The sequence below is a fragment of the Homo sapiens genome, chromosome 3 (genome assembly GCF_000001405.40).
Source record: "Homo sapiens chromosome 3, GRCh38.p14 Primary Assembly".
NCBI classification, from domain to species: Eukaryota; Metazoa; Chordata; class Mammalia; order Primates; family Hominidae; genus Homo; species Homo sapiens.
Genome location: NC_000003.12, coordinates 97,605,319 through 97,621,944, shown reverse-complemented (window position 1 = coordinate 97,621,944; position 16,626 = coordinate 97,605,319). Strand labels below are relative to the sequence as shown.

At 36.2% G+C, this 16,626-nt stretch overlaps 1 protein-coding gene across 16 annotated transcripts in view; it reads right to left on the bottom strand.

The window, feature by feature from the left end:
• EPHA6 (EPH receptor A6) overlaps nt 1-16,626 on the bottom strand; it is a 946,939-nt gene that overhangs the window by 139,588 nt on the left and 790,725 nt on the right. For all 16 annotated transcript variants that reach the window (XR_001740110.2, XM_017006211.2, XM_006713592.4 and 13 more), the window contains one exon: nt 11,091-11,152. Coding sequence is in view for 15 of the 16 variants with exons in the window: in XM_017006211.2 (XP_016861700.1) it covers nt 11,091-11,152 (62 nt within the window). In the remaining variant the exon portion in view is untranslated. The remainder of the gene's footprint in view (nt 1-11,090; nt 11,153-16,626) is intronic.

The window sequence follows — 16,626 nt, the reverse complement described above, 5'->3', positions numbered from 1 at the left end:
AAGGAATCATCTCCACCTACAAATTCCTGTTAGTTGTTCATTCTCATTTTTGCTCTCTGCAATCTGGCTTCTGCCTGGGACCAAGCCATTGAAAGTGCTCTTGTTGAGAACACTGAGTCCCTCTTATTTGCTAAATCCTATAGATGTTTCTCTGTTTCTGTCTTTCAGAATTCCTCTCCTGAATTTGTCACAATCGGTTATATGCTTCTGACTTAAAAGCTATATTCCCCTGGGTCTGGGGACTTCATGTTTTTCTCTCCTTCCTTGTTCCTCTTTGCCCACTCTTGCCTAGTTACCTTTGGGTATTCCATCCATGGGGCCCTTCAGATTGGTATGGCACAAAGTTCCACCCTGGTTCAACTTTCTTCTTAGGAAATATCCTGGTTTGCATTTAGTAACTACCTTTATGCTACCAAGACCCAGATGTTCAACTTTAGCCAAGATTTTTCCACTGAGCATCAGATTTGTATTTTAAATTGCTGTCTGGACATTTCCTTTTTTAAAAAAGAAATTCAAAACTTTTATTTTAAGTTCAGGGGTACATGTGCAGGATGTGCAGATTTCTTAAATGGTTGTGTCATGGGGGCTTGTTGTACAGATTATTTCACCCTTCAGGTATTAAGTCTAGCATCCATTAGTTATTTTTCCTGATCCTCTCCCTCCTCCCACCCTCCACTCTCTGAGAGGCCCCAGTGTGTGTTGTTCCCTTCTATGTGTTGTCCATGTGTTCTCATCATTTAGTTCTCACTTATAAATGATAACATGCAGTGCTTGGTTTCTGTTCCTGTGTTAGTTTGCTAAGGATAACAGCCTCTAGTTCCATCCTTGTGCCTGCAAAGGATGTGATCTCATTATTTTTCACGACTGCATAGTATTCCATGGTGTATATGTACCATATTTTCTTCATCCAGTCTATCATTGATGGGCATTTGGGTTGATTCCACATCTTTGCAATTTTGTATAGTGCTGCAATGAATATATGCATGCGTGTGTGTTTATAATAGAACGATTTCTATTCCTTTGGGTATATACTCAGTAATGGGGTTGCTGGGTCAAATGTTATTTCTGTCTTTAGGTCTCTGAGGAATTGCCACACTGTCTGTTACAATGATTGAACTAATTTACACTGCCACCAACAGTGTATAGCCATTGCTTTTTCTCCACCACCTTGCCTGCATCTATTAATGTTTGATTTTTTAATAATAGCCATTCTGACTGGTGTGAGATGGTAACTCATTGTGGTTTTGATTTGCATTTCTCTAACGATCAGTGATACTGAGTTTTTTCATATACTTCTTGGCCACATGTATGTCTCCTTTTACATGTCTGTTCATGTCCTTTGACCAGTTTTTAATGGGGTTGTTTGCTTTTTTCTTGTAAATTTGTTTAAGTTCCTTATATATGCTGGATATTAGAACTCTGTCAGATGCATAGTTTGCAGAAGTTTTCTCCCATTCTGTAGGTTGTCCATTTACTCTGATAATAGTTTCTTTTGCTATGTGGAAGCTCTTTAGTTTGATTAGATTCTATTTGTCCATTTTTACTTTTGTTGCAATTATTTTGGTGTCTTCATCATAAAATTTTTGGCCGTGCCTATCTCCTGAATGGTATTACCTAGGTTGTCTTCCAGGGTTTTTATATTTTTAGGTTTTACACTTAACTCTTTAATCCTTCTTGAGTTAATTTCTGTATATGGTGTAAGAAAAGGGTCCAGTTTCAATTTTCTGCATATGGCTAGCCAGTTATACCAGTACCCTTTATTGAATAAAGAAATCTTTTCCTCATTGCTTGTTTTTGTCAGGTTTGTCAAGGATTAGATAGCTGTAGGTGTGTAGTCTTATTTCTGTGTTCTCTCTTCTCTTCCACTGGTCTATGTGTCTGTTCTTGTACCAGTACCATGCTATTTTGCTCACTGTAGTCCTATGGTATAGTTTGAAGTTGAGTAGCATGATGCCTCCAGCTTTGTTCTTTTAGCTTAGGACTGCCTTGACTACTTGGGTTCTTTGTTGGTTCCATACGAATGTTAAAATAGTTTTTTCTAGTTCTGTGAAGAACACCAATGGTAGTTTTATGGAAATAGCTTTGAATCTGTAAATTGCTTTGGGCAGTATGGCCACTTTAACAATATTGATTCTTCCTATCCATAGTCATGGAAAGTTTTTCCATTTGTTTGTGTCAGCTCTGATTTCTTTGAGTAGTGGTTTATAGTTTTCCTTGTAGAGATCTTTCACTTCCCTTGTTAGATGTATTCCTAGGTGTTTTATTCTTTTTGTGGCAATTGTGAATTTGGTTCCTTTGTGATTTGGCTATTGGCCTGACTGTTGTTGGTGTATAGGAATGCTCGTAATGATTCCACATTGATTTTGTATCCTGAGAGTTTGCTGAAGTTGCTTATCAGCTTAAGAAGATTTTGGGCTGAGACAATGGGCTTTTGTAGATATAGGATCATGTAATCTACAAACAGGGATAAGTTTGACTTCCTCTCTTCCTATTTGGATGCCCCCCCCCCCCTTTTTCTATTGTCTGATTGCTCTGTATAGAATTTCCATACTATGTTGAATAGGAGTGGTGAGATAGGGCATCCTTGTCTTGTGCCCTTTTTCAAGGGCAATGTTTCCAGCTTTTGCCCATTCAGTATGATGTTGGCTGTCAGTTTGTCATAAATGGCTCTTGTTATTTTGAGGCATATTCCTTCAATACCTAGTTTATTGAGAGTTTTTAACATGAAGGAGTTGAATTTCATCAAAAGCCTTTTCTGCATCTATTGAGACAATCATGTGGTTTTTGTTTTTAGTTCTGTTTATGTTATGAATCACATTTATTGATTTACATATGTTGAACCAATCTTGCACCCTGGGGATGATCACAACTACTTGATCATGGTGGATAAGCTCTTTGATGTGCTGCTGGATTCAGTTTGCCAGTATTTTGTTGAGGATTTTTGCATTGATGTTTAGCAAGGATATTGGCCTGAAGTTTTCTTTTTTGTTGTATTGCTGCCAGGTTTTGGTATCAGGAAGATGCTGGCCTCATAGAATGAGTTATGGTGGAGTCCTTCCTTTTCAATTTTTTTAGTATTGTTTCAGTAGGAATGGTACCAGCTTTTCTTAGTACATCTGGTAGAATTCAGCTGTGAATCCATCTGGTCCTGGGCTTTTTTGGGTTGGAAAGCTATTTATTATTTCCTCAATTTCAGAACCTGTTATTGATGTGTTAAGGGATTCAATTTCTTCCTGGTTCAGTCTTGGGAGGGTGCATGTGTCCAGGAACTTATCAATTTCTTCTAGATTTTCTAATTTATGTGAATAGAGGTGTTTATAGTATTCTCTGATCGTTGCTTGTATTTCTGTGGGGTAATATCTCCCTTATCATTTCTGATTGTGTTATTTGAATCTTCTCTCTTTTCTTCTTTATTAGTCTAGCTAGCAGTCTAGATATTTTATCAATTTTTAAATAAACTAGCACCTGGATTTGTTGAGCTTTTCAATGGTTTTTCATTTCTCTGTAGCCCAGCTCTGATCTTAGTTATTTCTCATCCTCTGCTAGCTTTGGGATTTGTTTGCTCCTGGTTCTGTCATTCTTTTAGTTTTGATGTTAGGTTGATGACTTGAGTTCCTTCCAGATTTTTGAGGTGGGTATTTAGTGCTAAATATTTCCGTCTTAACATTGCCTTGGCTGTATCCCAGAGATTCTGGCACATTGTATATTTATTCTCATTAGTTTCAAGGAACTTCTTGATTTCTGCCTTAAGTTCATTATTTACCCAAAAGTCATTCAGGAGCAGGTTATACAATTTCCATGTAATTGTGTGGTTTTGAGTGTATTTCTTAGTCTTGAGTTCCAATTTGATTGTGCTGTGGTCTGAGAGAATGTTATGATATCAGTTCTTTCACATTTGCTGAGGAGTGATTTACTTCCAATTATGTGATCAATTTTAGAGTAAGTGCCATGTGGTGACGAGAAAAATGTATATGCTGTTGCATTGGAGTGGAGAGGTCTTTAGATATCTATCAAGTCCATTCAATCCAGAGCTGAGTTCAGGTCCTGAATATCTTTGTGAATTTTCTATCTTGATGATCTGTCTAATATTCACAGTGGGGTTTTAAAGTCTTCCACTATTATTGTGTGGGAGTCTAAGTCTCTTTCAAGGTCTCTGATAACTTGCTTTATGAATCTGAGCGCTCCTGTGTTGGTGCATATATATTTAGGATAGCCAGCTCATCTTGTTGAATTGAACCCTTTACCATTATGTAATACCTTTCTTTGTCTTTTTTGATCTTTGTTGGTTTAAAGTCTGTTTTGTCAAAAACTGGGATGGCAACCCTGGTTTTTTCTGTTGTCCATTTGCTTGGTAAATTTTCCTGCATCACTTTATTTTGAGCCTACCTGTGTTACTGCATGTGAGTGAGATGGGTCTCTTGAAGACAGCATATTGATAGGTCTTAGTTCTTTATCCAGCTTGCCATTTTTTTATCTTTTAATTGAGGCACTTAGCCCATTTACATTTCAGGTTAGTATTGTTATGTGTGGATTTGATCCTGACATCGTGATGCTAGCTAATTATTTTGCAGACTTGTTTATGTGGTTAATTTATAGTGTCACTGTTCTGTGTACTTCATTGTGTTTTTTGTTGTGGCTGGTAATAGTTTTTCCTTTCTGCATTTAGGCTTCCTTCAGGAGCTCTTATAAGACAGGTCTGGTGGTGATGAATTCCCTCAGCATTTACTTGTCTGAAAAGGACCTTATTTCCCTTTTCTTATGAAGCTTAGTTTGAATGGATATGAAATTCTGGGTTGGAATCTCTTTCCTTTAACAATGTTGAATGCCCCCAATGTCTTGTGGCTTATAAGGTTTCTGCTAAAAGGTTCTCTGTTAGTCTGATGGGCTCCCCTTTGTAGGTGATCTGGCCCTTCTCTCTGACTGCCATTAACATTTTTTCCTGTATTTTGACCTTGGAGAATCTGATGATTATGTGTCCTGAGGATAATCTTCTCATTGAGTATTTTACTGGGGTTCTCTGCATTTCCTGAATTTGAATGTTGGCCTGTCTAGCTTGGTTGGGTAAGTTCTCATGGATGATATTCTGAAATATGTTTTCTACATTGGTTCCATTCTCCCCATCTCTTTCAGGTACACCAATCAGTTGTAGATTTGATCTTTTTACATAATCCTATATTTCTTGGAGGTTTTGTTTATTCATTTTCATTTTTTTTCTCTATTCTTGTCTACCAGTGTTATTTCAGAAACCCAAACTTTAAGTTCTGAGATTCTTCCCTCTATTTGGTCTATTCTGCTATTAATACTTGTGATTACATTATGAAATTCTTTTATTGTGTTTTTTAGCTCTGTCAATCAGTTCAGTTATGTTCTCTATACTGGCTATTTTGACTGTCAGCTCCTGCAATGTTTTATCATGATTTTTAGCTTCCTTGTGTTGAGTTAGAACATGTCCCTTTAGCTCAGTGAAGATTTTCTTAGACACATTTGGAAGCCTACTTCTGTCGTCTCAGCCATCTCAGCCTCAGTCCAGTTCTGAACCCTTGCTGGAGAGGTAATGTGGTCATTTGGAGGAAAGAGGACACTCTGGCTTTTTGAGTTTTCAGTGTTCTTGCACTGATTCTTTCTCATCATTGTGGGCTTCTCCATTTTCAATCTTTGAGGTTGCTGACCTTTGGATTTATTTATTTTTTTCCTTTTAATGGTCCGGCCACTTTTCTATAGGGCTGCTATAATTTTCTGGGGGTCTGCTCCAGTGCCTGGTTGCCTTGGATTTTCCAGTACCTGAAGGTATCACCAGTGAAGGCTCTGAAACCGCAAAGATGGCCCTTCCTCTGTGAGCTCTGTCCCAGGAGGTATGGATCTGTTGCCAGTTCCAACACACTTGTAGAAGGCGGCTGGAGACCCTGCTTGGGAGATCTCACCCAGTCAGGAGGATTAGGATTAGATACACTCTTCAAGAAGCAGTCTAGTCACTTTTTTGTAGAGTAGCTGTGTCCTGCTGGGGTACTGCTTCTGCTCCTGGTCAGCTTGGGCTCTCCAAAGCCCGGAAGCTGTAACCACTAAGTTGCAGGACAGCAAAGATGGCAGCCCACCCCTTTCTGGGCTCTCCATACCAGGGAGAATTCAAATCTCTGTTGGGCTGGAGAACACAGGAGGGGGTGGCTGGAGGGCCCAGTTGGGATGCCCCACCAGTGAGGAGGAATACATTGGTTAAAGAGGCAATCTGGACATGTTTTGGTAGAGCAGATGTGCTGTGTTGGGGGATCCCTTCTATCCCTGGTCAATTTGGACTCTCCAAAGCCCAGAGACTGAAATGGCTAAGTTGTCCAAACAATAAAGATGGAGGCCTGCCCCTCCCCCCAGGAACTCTATCCTGTCCCAGGTAGGTACAACAATGTCACCAGGGGCTGGCTGGAATTTCAAGCCAGTAGGTCTTATCCCGTAGGCTACTGTGGAGGTGGGGCCTGCAGACCGATGCTGCTCTGCCCCCTGGATTCAGCTCCCTTTTCAGGGCTATGTATGGAGGTCCAACTTTTCACCTTGCCTGAGTCACTGTCACATTTGCCGGGGACCCCAGAGCCCACGTATATAAAGCTCCCAGGACTCTGTGAATCGGCAAAGCTTCTCTGCCAGGACTTCACACAGTTCTGTGTGTCAGACTGAAAACCCTGGTGGAGTGGGTTCGCAAGGGCATCTCCTGACCCAAGAGTTGCAAAAATCCATGGGAGAAGTGTGGTTTCCGGGGGTCACACATTCACTAACTGCTTCCCAGGGTAGGGGAGGTTCCCGTTGCTCTGTGTTGCTCCTGGGTGGGTCATTGACCTTCTTTTCTCCATTCTCTGTAGGTCAAACTGTTTCCCTGATCAGTCCCAGTGCAAGTACTGGATGTTTCAGTTGAAGGTTCTGTATTATTCACCTCTTTCATTCCTCTCTGTAAGAGCCACACACCATAGCTGCTTCTAGTCAGCCATCTTGGTCCCCACCCACTGAACATTTTCAGTGGATGTTTCACAGACATCTCAAATGCAACATGACCAAAATTAAACTTACCATTTCTTTCCAACTACCAGTCCATCCTGTTCCTCCTCTGTATCTTTATTTCAATTGATAGCACCACCTTCCACTCACTTTTCTTGCTCCCAGCCATCTTTCCCTGAGCATATTTTGAGCTGATTTCCTTACTTAATTAAATCCTTCTTGCTTTCTTTATTAATTTCTCCTAGATTTTTGGTTTATAGATGACCCCCTTTCTTATTTGCCTAAGTGATTTGCACTGTAAAAAATGTAAGTATAGGCCAGGGACAGTGGCTCACGCCTGTAATCCCAGCACTTTGGAAGGCCAAGGCAGGCGGATCATGAGATAAGGAAATTGAAATCATCCTGGCCAATGTGGTGAAACCCCGTCTCTTCTAAAATACAAAAAAAAAAAAAAAAAAAAAAAAATTAGCTGGGTGTGGTGGTGCACACCTGTAGTTCCAGTTACTTGGGAGGCTGAGGCAGGAGAATCACTTGAACCCGGGAGGCGGAGGTTGCAGTGAGCCAAGATCGTGCCACTACACTCCAGCCTGGTGACAGAGCAAGACTCTGTCTCAAAAAAAAAAAAAAAAAAAGTAAGTATACCTTTTCTCTCATGAACACACCATCTTGCACTGAAACCAGTAGTAAATTTAGTATTATATTTTGGTATAACTGAATTTTGCAATATGATAAATTAACATTCAACAAATGTTATAAAACAAAGGAATTTTTTTGTGGTTGACATGTGGCATTTCAAAGTTAAAGTATTCTATAAGCACATGTACCCTAAAACTTAAAGTATAATAAAAACAAAAAACAAAAAACAATGTTAAAGTATTCTATAGCTATACTTAGTTTAGATTCTAGTTAATATTGTTATAAAAAATGGGAAGTTCTAAGTGGAATGTTCTGAAATGGGAATTTCTAAAATTTAGAGGTAGGTGGTTTGCAGGTAAGTGCCACAAAAAGTATTTATGAAATCCAAATGTGTAGCTGGAAAAAGCCTGTATGGGGATAATGGTCAAGGTTACATTTAATTCGCACTAGTGAATTTTAGTGAAATTAGAGAAAATACATTAGTGTGAATTAAGTGTAACCTTGACCACTATCCCCAAATGGGCTTAGAAAAGTTAAAAATTCTGCACATTGGTGAAGTTGTGCCTTCTGGGCAGCCAGGCTGCTGATGATTTGCTTGCTAAGTCAGAATGTATTCAACTTTAAAATTAAAAATACACACGGTTACACACACATCCCTTCTCTACACACATGTATATTTTCACACACAAGCCCACACACACACTTGACTACACTGCCCCTCTGCCGATATATATCTGGAAGAATGTCCCCAAGGATCCCAAATGGTATGAGATTGATGAATCCAGTGCAATATGACAGCCAGCCAGCAACCAGCACTGACACTAGATGTAATCTTGTACTTAGTAGTGCTACCACTCCTTCATAATAAAATAACAAATTGAAGCAGTTTTCAAATAGTGTGGGAGACCAAAGGGAAATCATTTCTGCTTCCAGTAAGCACAGAAGGCTATTATGAGCCACGGATGGCTCCCCTACTACACAGTGCACTTAGCCACTTCCTCCTTCCTGTGCTCACATAAGCTGTGATTATGTTCTAAAGCTGTAGTTTGAAAAATGACTTTGCTTTTGAGAATGTATGGGCTATATATATTTATATATTTTATTTCCGCTTGTCATGGGGAGTTGAGTATCTGCTATTAACACAAAGTTTATAAAGCACTTTGAGCTTCTAAGAAGAGAGATGATTACAAAGAAGGGTAAGAACATTAAAGAAGAGTAAGATGGAAGTATTGACCCTATTTTTCCATTCATTTGATTTTTTTTTTGCATTATAATAATGTGACTTTTAGAAACTCTACGTGCAAAGGGGACACACACCATGAGGAGATGGTAGTGGACTTATAAGGAAAAGTAGTAAGCAATTTAATAAAATGAATTCATAACGCATGAGAGCATGGCTTTTTGAGTCATAGAGACTTGAGTTTGAATCCTTGCTCTGCCACCTGCAATATGTCAGGCACTATTCTGCAAGCTTTACAACAATCAATCTTTATAATAATTGTATGAGGTGGATGAGTAAACAGAGGTACAGAGAATTTTATAGATGAGTAAACAGAGGTACAGAGAATTTGATACCATGCCCAAGGTCACATAGTCCATGAGTAGAGCCAAAATTAGCTGAGATAGGTATTCAGAATCTCTGATAATGTCTTACATACACAGTACATAATAAGAGCTGAAAAATATTAGTTTTTAAAATTTAAAGCATAAAATACACTACTTCTAAACATGTAGTAAGATGTTTAGAAGTAAATCTTTTATTTGTAACATATTATTGTTTCTTTAAAACATTTAATGGATTCATTATTCCACAGAATAAAATATATAAATTAGGGGAGAAGCTAATATTTCCCACCTTATTTGCTTGTGGTAGTCATTTGATCCATTTTTAGCAGCAATTTAGATTGAATATCTGCTACACTGTTTGCCATTATATTCTGCTTTAGGATACAGCTGATACAAAAATAAAAAGAAGAAAATAAAAAGAAAACCAACCTAACCCAAGCATCATTAGATGATGAGTCATTTTGATATGTATCTGATAAGAATGAGTTTTTGAAGAAACATAATGGAAGGACATTAAGTATACAGCATTTCAAGTACTAAGTACACAGCATTTCAAGTACCATAGGTGGTCCTGTAAATTATTCTAAAATAATTTAGAACAGGTTAAATGAACACAAGCTATAAAATAACACATTTTTAGAATGGCTACAGAAAAGAACAAACAGTTCATGTCCCCAAACACCTCTGAATTTCATTTTACCTTACAGAGCACACTTGGTTGAGAGTATACACTGCACGAGCAGCATTGCTCTATAATAACTTGATGATTTTGCTGAATTCAGCTTCTAGGATTGAATCTGGACATCAAGCCCAGTCAGAGTATAAATATATCATCACTGCTAGCATTCAGAGCAGTTGGAAGAAGAGGGCCCAGAACCAAGAAAAATAAATGAAAATGAGATCAAGAGAGAAAGATGAGATGCAAACAGAACTTATTCACATAACATGGGGCAAAAAACGAAGTGAAGTGAATGCTTTATTTTCACATGAAAATAAAGAAGAAAAATAATGTAACATCCCAAGTGGCAAAGTCCAGCCATTTTGTAAGTGAGAAAAATAGTTATATATATATAGATAGATAGACAGATAGACAGATAGATAGATATTAAAAATACAGTGACATGCAAATATATGACCTTTGCTGGGGATGAAAAATATTTACTATAGCATTTATTTTTTATATTTCACTTTTTTCACTATCAATGAATATTTTCATAGCACATGATGCTTTTTCAAATCTTAAATGTATTATAAATATACCTTGAAATCTAACTTCCTGGTGCCTTCTCAGTTTATGTTTGTATCACTATCTATAATAAATTACTTTTCGTATATACTATACTTTTAAAGATAAATCACTTTAAAAATAATGTTTTTGTAAAAGAAATCTCTGCTAAAGGAGTTTTATTCCTCCTCCCTTTGTTTTCTGAATAGTCAGCCAAATGAACTGAAGAAGGACAAAGTTGATAGAACATTTTCTGAAATGAACTTGAGTCATTGTTGGTAAATACAGATCAGTTAAGGAGTTCAGCATTATAGATAATGCATACAATATCATACTACATAGTTAAATGTGATAAAGCAAAATTAATGACTGTGAGGCAATTGAGTTTCATTTAATCTTTCTTCATGATAACATTATTTGGTATACACACACACACATATATATACACACACATATAGCAAGTGAATTTAGAGGAGAAATCAATTACGTTATTGAGTGTACATCCTCCCCCCTTAGTAACACTCTAATGTATCACAGTATCAGGGAAATGCACCCTAGAGAAAACACTGCTATTCTTCACAGAAAATCCATGAATAACATTATGCAAAAATTAATTTATGATAAATGATTTAAATATAGAACTGAGAATAGCTTATTTAAATGCCATCAGAAAAGAACACCTCACCCGCAAAAAGGAGTCTAGGGATCCATTCTCCATATATTCCACCACAATCATTACTGGTCTGCCTGCAAAAGAGCAAGAGAATACACATGGATTAGAGCAATTACAGAAATATGTGCTGCAGTTAAGAGATACCCAGCTGTGGCAACTAAATTATTTGTATTTTATTAATAGGAATTTCATTTTCCAGCCTGCTTCTATAAACGTATTCATATTATACATAGGCACCTCTATATTTCTTTATAGCATTATTTCCTTTTGAGTTCATAAAAGGGACATGAATTACAATATAAATTACAAAGGAATTAGGTACTTCTTTTCCTAAAGCCCTGCAATCACTTGTTTAGATTATGTTCTTTTTGTCCTCTAGTTTTTCCTTAGAAAACAATCAACAAGCTGAAGTCAGGATTTAAGCAGTTATTATAGCTGCTTTTGCAGTTGTGGTACAACTTCTAAGGCAGTGCAGCAATTTTGCCTGACTTATATTACAGTGGGCATTTCTGAAATATTCCTAAGGCAAAGCAGAAAGGAGAAACTCATAAATTCTCTCAAAGAAATTATAAACCATCGGTCATAGTCTGATTTTAAGGGCCTTTAAGCAGAAAAATTTTAGATTGATGAATGCTACAGAGCTTGTAGGATTTGTAATAGTTCCTGATTATGTCTTCATTGGACATAGATTTAATCAACAGAGCAATGATGGCAGTACATGAAAAATAAGTAACTCTGATTTTGTAGTCTGGTATAGAAGATAAGATCAGAAACTGAACATATTTTCTTTCCTTTTTTATCATATCAATTGGTACACTGTTATAGTTCCCAATACACCTCTATTAGGTAGAATATTCGACATAAATAACTGCTTTATTTCAAAGAAGTGAATGCATTTGTTCTGCCCAATTGCCCAAGTTTAAAAGATAAACTCATTTCAGATGCAGGGGAAATGGTATTCACCTGAAATAAGCATGTATGACATATTTAGTTTTTACTTCTGTATTTCTCACTTCTTGTTGGAATTTTTAACTTTTCAATCTGCACTATGCACAGTTTTTCCTTACAAACACAAAGGAGATCTAGAAAGAACTGATGTGTACCAATGATGGAAATATTACATATTGTAATTCATGTTCCTTTTATGAACTCAAAGCCTTGTGGGTTAGAAAGGGTGATGGTGACTATTACGAATTAGTACAATGTATGTAAATGCTAGACTTTACATTTGAATCTATATTTTAAATAAAGATGTGCTAAAGGTTAAATGTATTAATAAAGCTCCCAATTTATCATGCATAAAATTAGAACCCAAGGAAGTTTTCCATTTGTAGTGAATATTAACTTATATTCTATAATGTTCCTCAAAGTCATTAATTTTACCCAAATATGAATAAAGAACTTTATCGTCAATTATTGAGGTCAACTGAACTGTCAGCACTCTTGTGGGCAGGGATCTAGAAAATTCAGGTTTTAAACCTTAAAGTTAATCATGAAATCTTTTATTTGGCTATAGTTTCAGAGAGGTTGGAGGTAGGAGACTGATAGAAACACTGAGGTAGCAAGGTGGGGAAAATAAAAGGTCGTTTTTGTACTTAAATATAAAAATTCTGAGACCAATATTCCATTTTGAATGATGATGGATTCTGAATGTTAATGGGAAAAGTTGGGTTATTACAATGACTGCCTGATGTCTTCTTCCCCTGCCTGCAGAGTCACAGCTTTTTAATCTGTCTTGACTGTTGCTGTCAGAGGAATACTTTTAGTTTTTATTTTCTTTAACAAACATTTATCCTTCCCTTAAGAATACCAGTCTTACTAGAATAAAAAGAGCTTGCAAGCATTCCACTTGTATTGCTACATGCCATAATTATTTTTCTTATGCAGATGTGGAAATTGAGGGATAGAAAATTAAACTGCTTGTCTAAAGTCAAATAGCTGGTAAGTGGCAGTATCAAGTAGTCTGTCTCAGAGTTTGAGATCTTAACCTTTATGCTATAGGTGCCTTTCAGACAGCATTTATAGATAAAAGCTCCAAGTCTCACCCTGTTAGTCAATTCTTTCCAGTGATGCACCTCATCTTTCCTAACTAGCCTTTGTATCCACGGCTTTACCAGTTGTTATTAGTACTTGTATTTATTTAATCCTGTCTCCTTCTTCCTTTACTTTTGTAGTCACCTGCCAGGATAATCTCCCAATTTGCTTCTCTCTCTAATCTTACCGTCTCTCCCCACTCCCTTAGAATTTATACAACACACCTCTTCCCTAAAAGTCTCTCACAGTGATATTTCTCATAGTTGCATTTCCATCACATCTGTTGTGTACACTATGAAATGTTGTGCCTGTTTTTATATTAAGTTGTTTTTCTTTCTTATTTTCCCATAATGCTTTGTATCCTCATTCACTGGGTTTCTCAAGGTCACTTGCCATAGAGCTAATCATAGTAGGTGCTTCATAAAAACAAGTTAACTTTTCTTGATTTCATAGTTCCTAAGAAACTCACTCTGGAGTATTTCAACAAGATCTGATCTATGTGAATATACAGTACTTCGAAATTAGTTCTACCTATAACTCTTTGGGAGATACTTTAGGTAATCTTAAAATTCATCAGTAACAAGTTCTATCTTCTCATTAAGAATAATAAAAAATCAAATGAAGGCTTCCCTGGTTTCCTGTGAATTAGAAGTTTCACATTTGAACTCTTAATCTTTTGTATTTTGTGCAGTAGCATCAACTGAGAACAGCTGTTAATTGAACTAAGGAATTTTTTTTTTTTTTACTATTGCTCCATCTAGCCTGTAATTTGTCTTGGTTTTCAACAGAGAAGAAACTAGTCATACTGTGAAGATTATAAGCAACTTTACAATCCATGATTACATTTTATAATCAAGAAAATAGATAAGTACAGGGGAAACTATGAAAATTAGGATGTTAATCTTTAAATCTGTTTTAGGTGAGAGAAGTCTATTGGCAACAGTGTTTTTTGGTCTTTTCCAGTACGTAAAAATTACATATTGCATTATTGCTCTTGGAAGATATATTGGGAAGTAATTTATTATCTCTTTCTAAATTTTCAAAATGTTACACCTTATTTCTTTTTGTACAATTTTAGCCAGTCACCCCTTCTGCCTCATATCACAGAATCATCTTAGTATTTGCATCATACTAAAGTCAGTGGACAAACCAGGCTTCTTGAATTAGTCAATTCTTGAAATCCCCAGATCATTTTCAAGTCTCATGTATTTGATTTAAGAGACTTTCAAAGATACTTCTACAAGTCACACAAGGTGAATTTCTTAGGTTTTCCTTCATAAATATCCCAGAAATGCTTATGAATATTTTAAACTGCATTTGAATGAAGATCCTCTAAGAAATCAGTTACTGATATTCTGGAGACGATGGATTGCAAAAACCCCTTATCATCCTTTTCTGTTATAGAAAAGAAAAATTATTTTCTTACATTAAGACTTTAAGGGAATATTGACCAATATATATTTTTCAAATGTTCCCTAATACTTATGATGATTTTGATAAAGGTGATGTGGATAAACTATATAATCATAAGACTACACTTTTCTCATGCTGTTGTTAAAGAAAACAAAATAATTCTTTAAATGTTCCATAGATACCCTGGTTAAAGTATTTTGCCAGTGAAATCTTTTTGTGTTTTTTTTTTTTTTTTGCCTCAGACAATATTTGTGAAAAAAAGAGGATAACAGAGACTTAACATTTTCATGTAATGAAATGAGTTTGTACTGGATGTAGTATTCTCTATTAGTTTGGCAATTTCTAATGTGCAGTCAGTAAAATGAAGAATCAAAACAAATCTCAACAACCTCAAAACTCTATTACAGATTTAAGTCATTCAGTTATTTAACATACTATCAAGTTTATATTTTGTCTACCAGGCAATAAAATGTGTGGTGATAACTTAGATTATCACTGTAAAAAATACAGTTAGAGTGCCTGTATTTTTTTCCCCCAGTTGCAACTCAGGACTCTTTGGACCAGTTATTTAATCTATTTCTACCTTCCATGTTTCTGTTGTAGAGATAGTGAATTACAATTATAATCTCAAATTGGTTTGATAATAAATGAAATATTCTTATGCCTCTAAGGCACTCAGAAGATATGGATGATGCCATTTGAACACAGTTATACTATATTAAATCATTGTTTTTATTCACATAAGTACTCAAATTAAAGAACTGTTTTCTTCTTATGGTGTTGCCTGATGATTATCAGATCACGTTCAAAACACATCTCATCCTCATTCAGTTCAAATCCAAACTTTTAACATTTCCTTTGAACTTTCTTTTCCTGTTATAATCCTGTGTTGTTAAAACATCACCATCCATCTAGTTATCCAGGTTTGAAACCCTTTTGTGACATTGGACTCCTCACTTTATTAAACCCTTTCTAGTTCATAAGTTATGAAGTTCTATTGATTCTACATAAAATCTGTTGCCACTGCCCATATTCTGCCTTTGCTTTCTCTTGCTCAGTAATATTTTACTGGTTTCTTTGCTCCTATCTGGTTTCCCATTGTAAGCTAACTCTTGAAAAATCATTATTTTTGAACATTCAGTGATACAAAAAATTTTCTTAAAATGCCTACTAGGTAGCAAGTACTCTTCTGAGTTCTGGAGACATATCGTCAATCAATACAAGATCTCTGCTCTCATGGGGTGTATAGTAGGAAGGGCACTAGAAATAATTAAACAGTCAATTAGTATAAAGCGCTAATGCCTCATTCCGCTATTTTGAGACTGCATTGTTTATTGCAGAATTAACGTCTAAATTGCTTGGTAATTAAGTTCATTTACAATCTCTTCTTTACCTTAATTTCTAGTTTTATCTTTTACTTCACCCTATTCCCATATCTCCTGTTTTTCAACTAATCAAGGAAGTGAAAGATGTTTACAAAGAGAACTACAAAACACTGCTGAAATAAATCAGAAATGAAATGAATAAATGGAAAAACATTCCAAGCTCACAAATTGGAAGGACTGATATCATTTAAATGGCCATACTGCCCAAAGCAAGGTACAGATTCAATGTTATTCCCATCAAATTACCAACCTCATTTTTCACAGAATTAAACTATTCTAAAATTCATATGGAACCATAAAGAACCCAGATAGCCAAGGCAATTGTAAGCAAAGAGAACAAAGCTGGAGGTATATCATTACCCAACTTCAAACTATACTATAAAGCAACAGTAACCAAAACAGCAGGGTACTGGTACAAAAACAGGCACATAGACCAATGGAAAAGAATAGAGAATCCAGAAACAGCCACACACCCTAACCATCTGATCTCCAACAAAATTGACAAAAACAAGCAATAGTGAAAGGACTTCCTAGTCAACAAATGGTGCTGGGATAACTGGCTAGCCATATGTAGAAGAATGAAACTGGACTCCTACTTTTCACCATACACAAAAATTAACCTAAGGTGGATTAAAGATTTAAATGTAAGAACTCAAACTATAAAAATCCTAGAAGAAAACCTAGGAAATACCCTTCTTGACTTTAGCCTTGGCAAA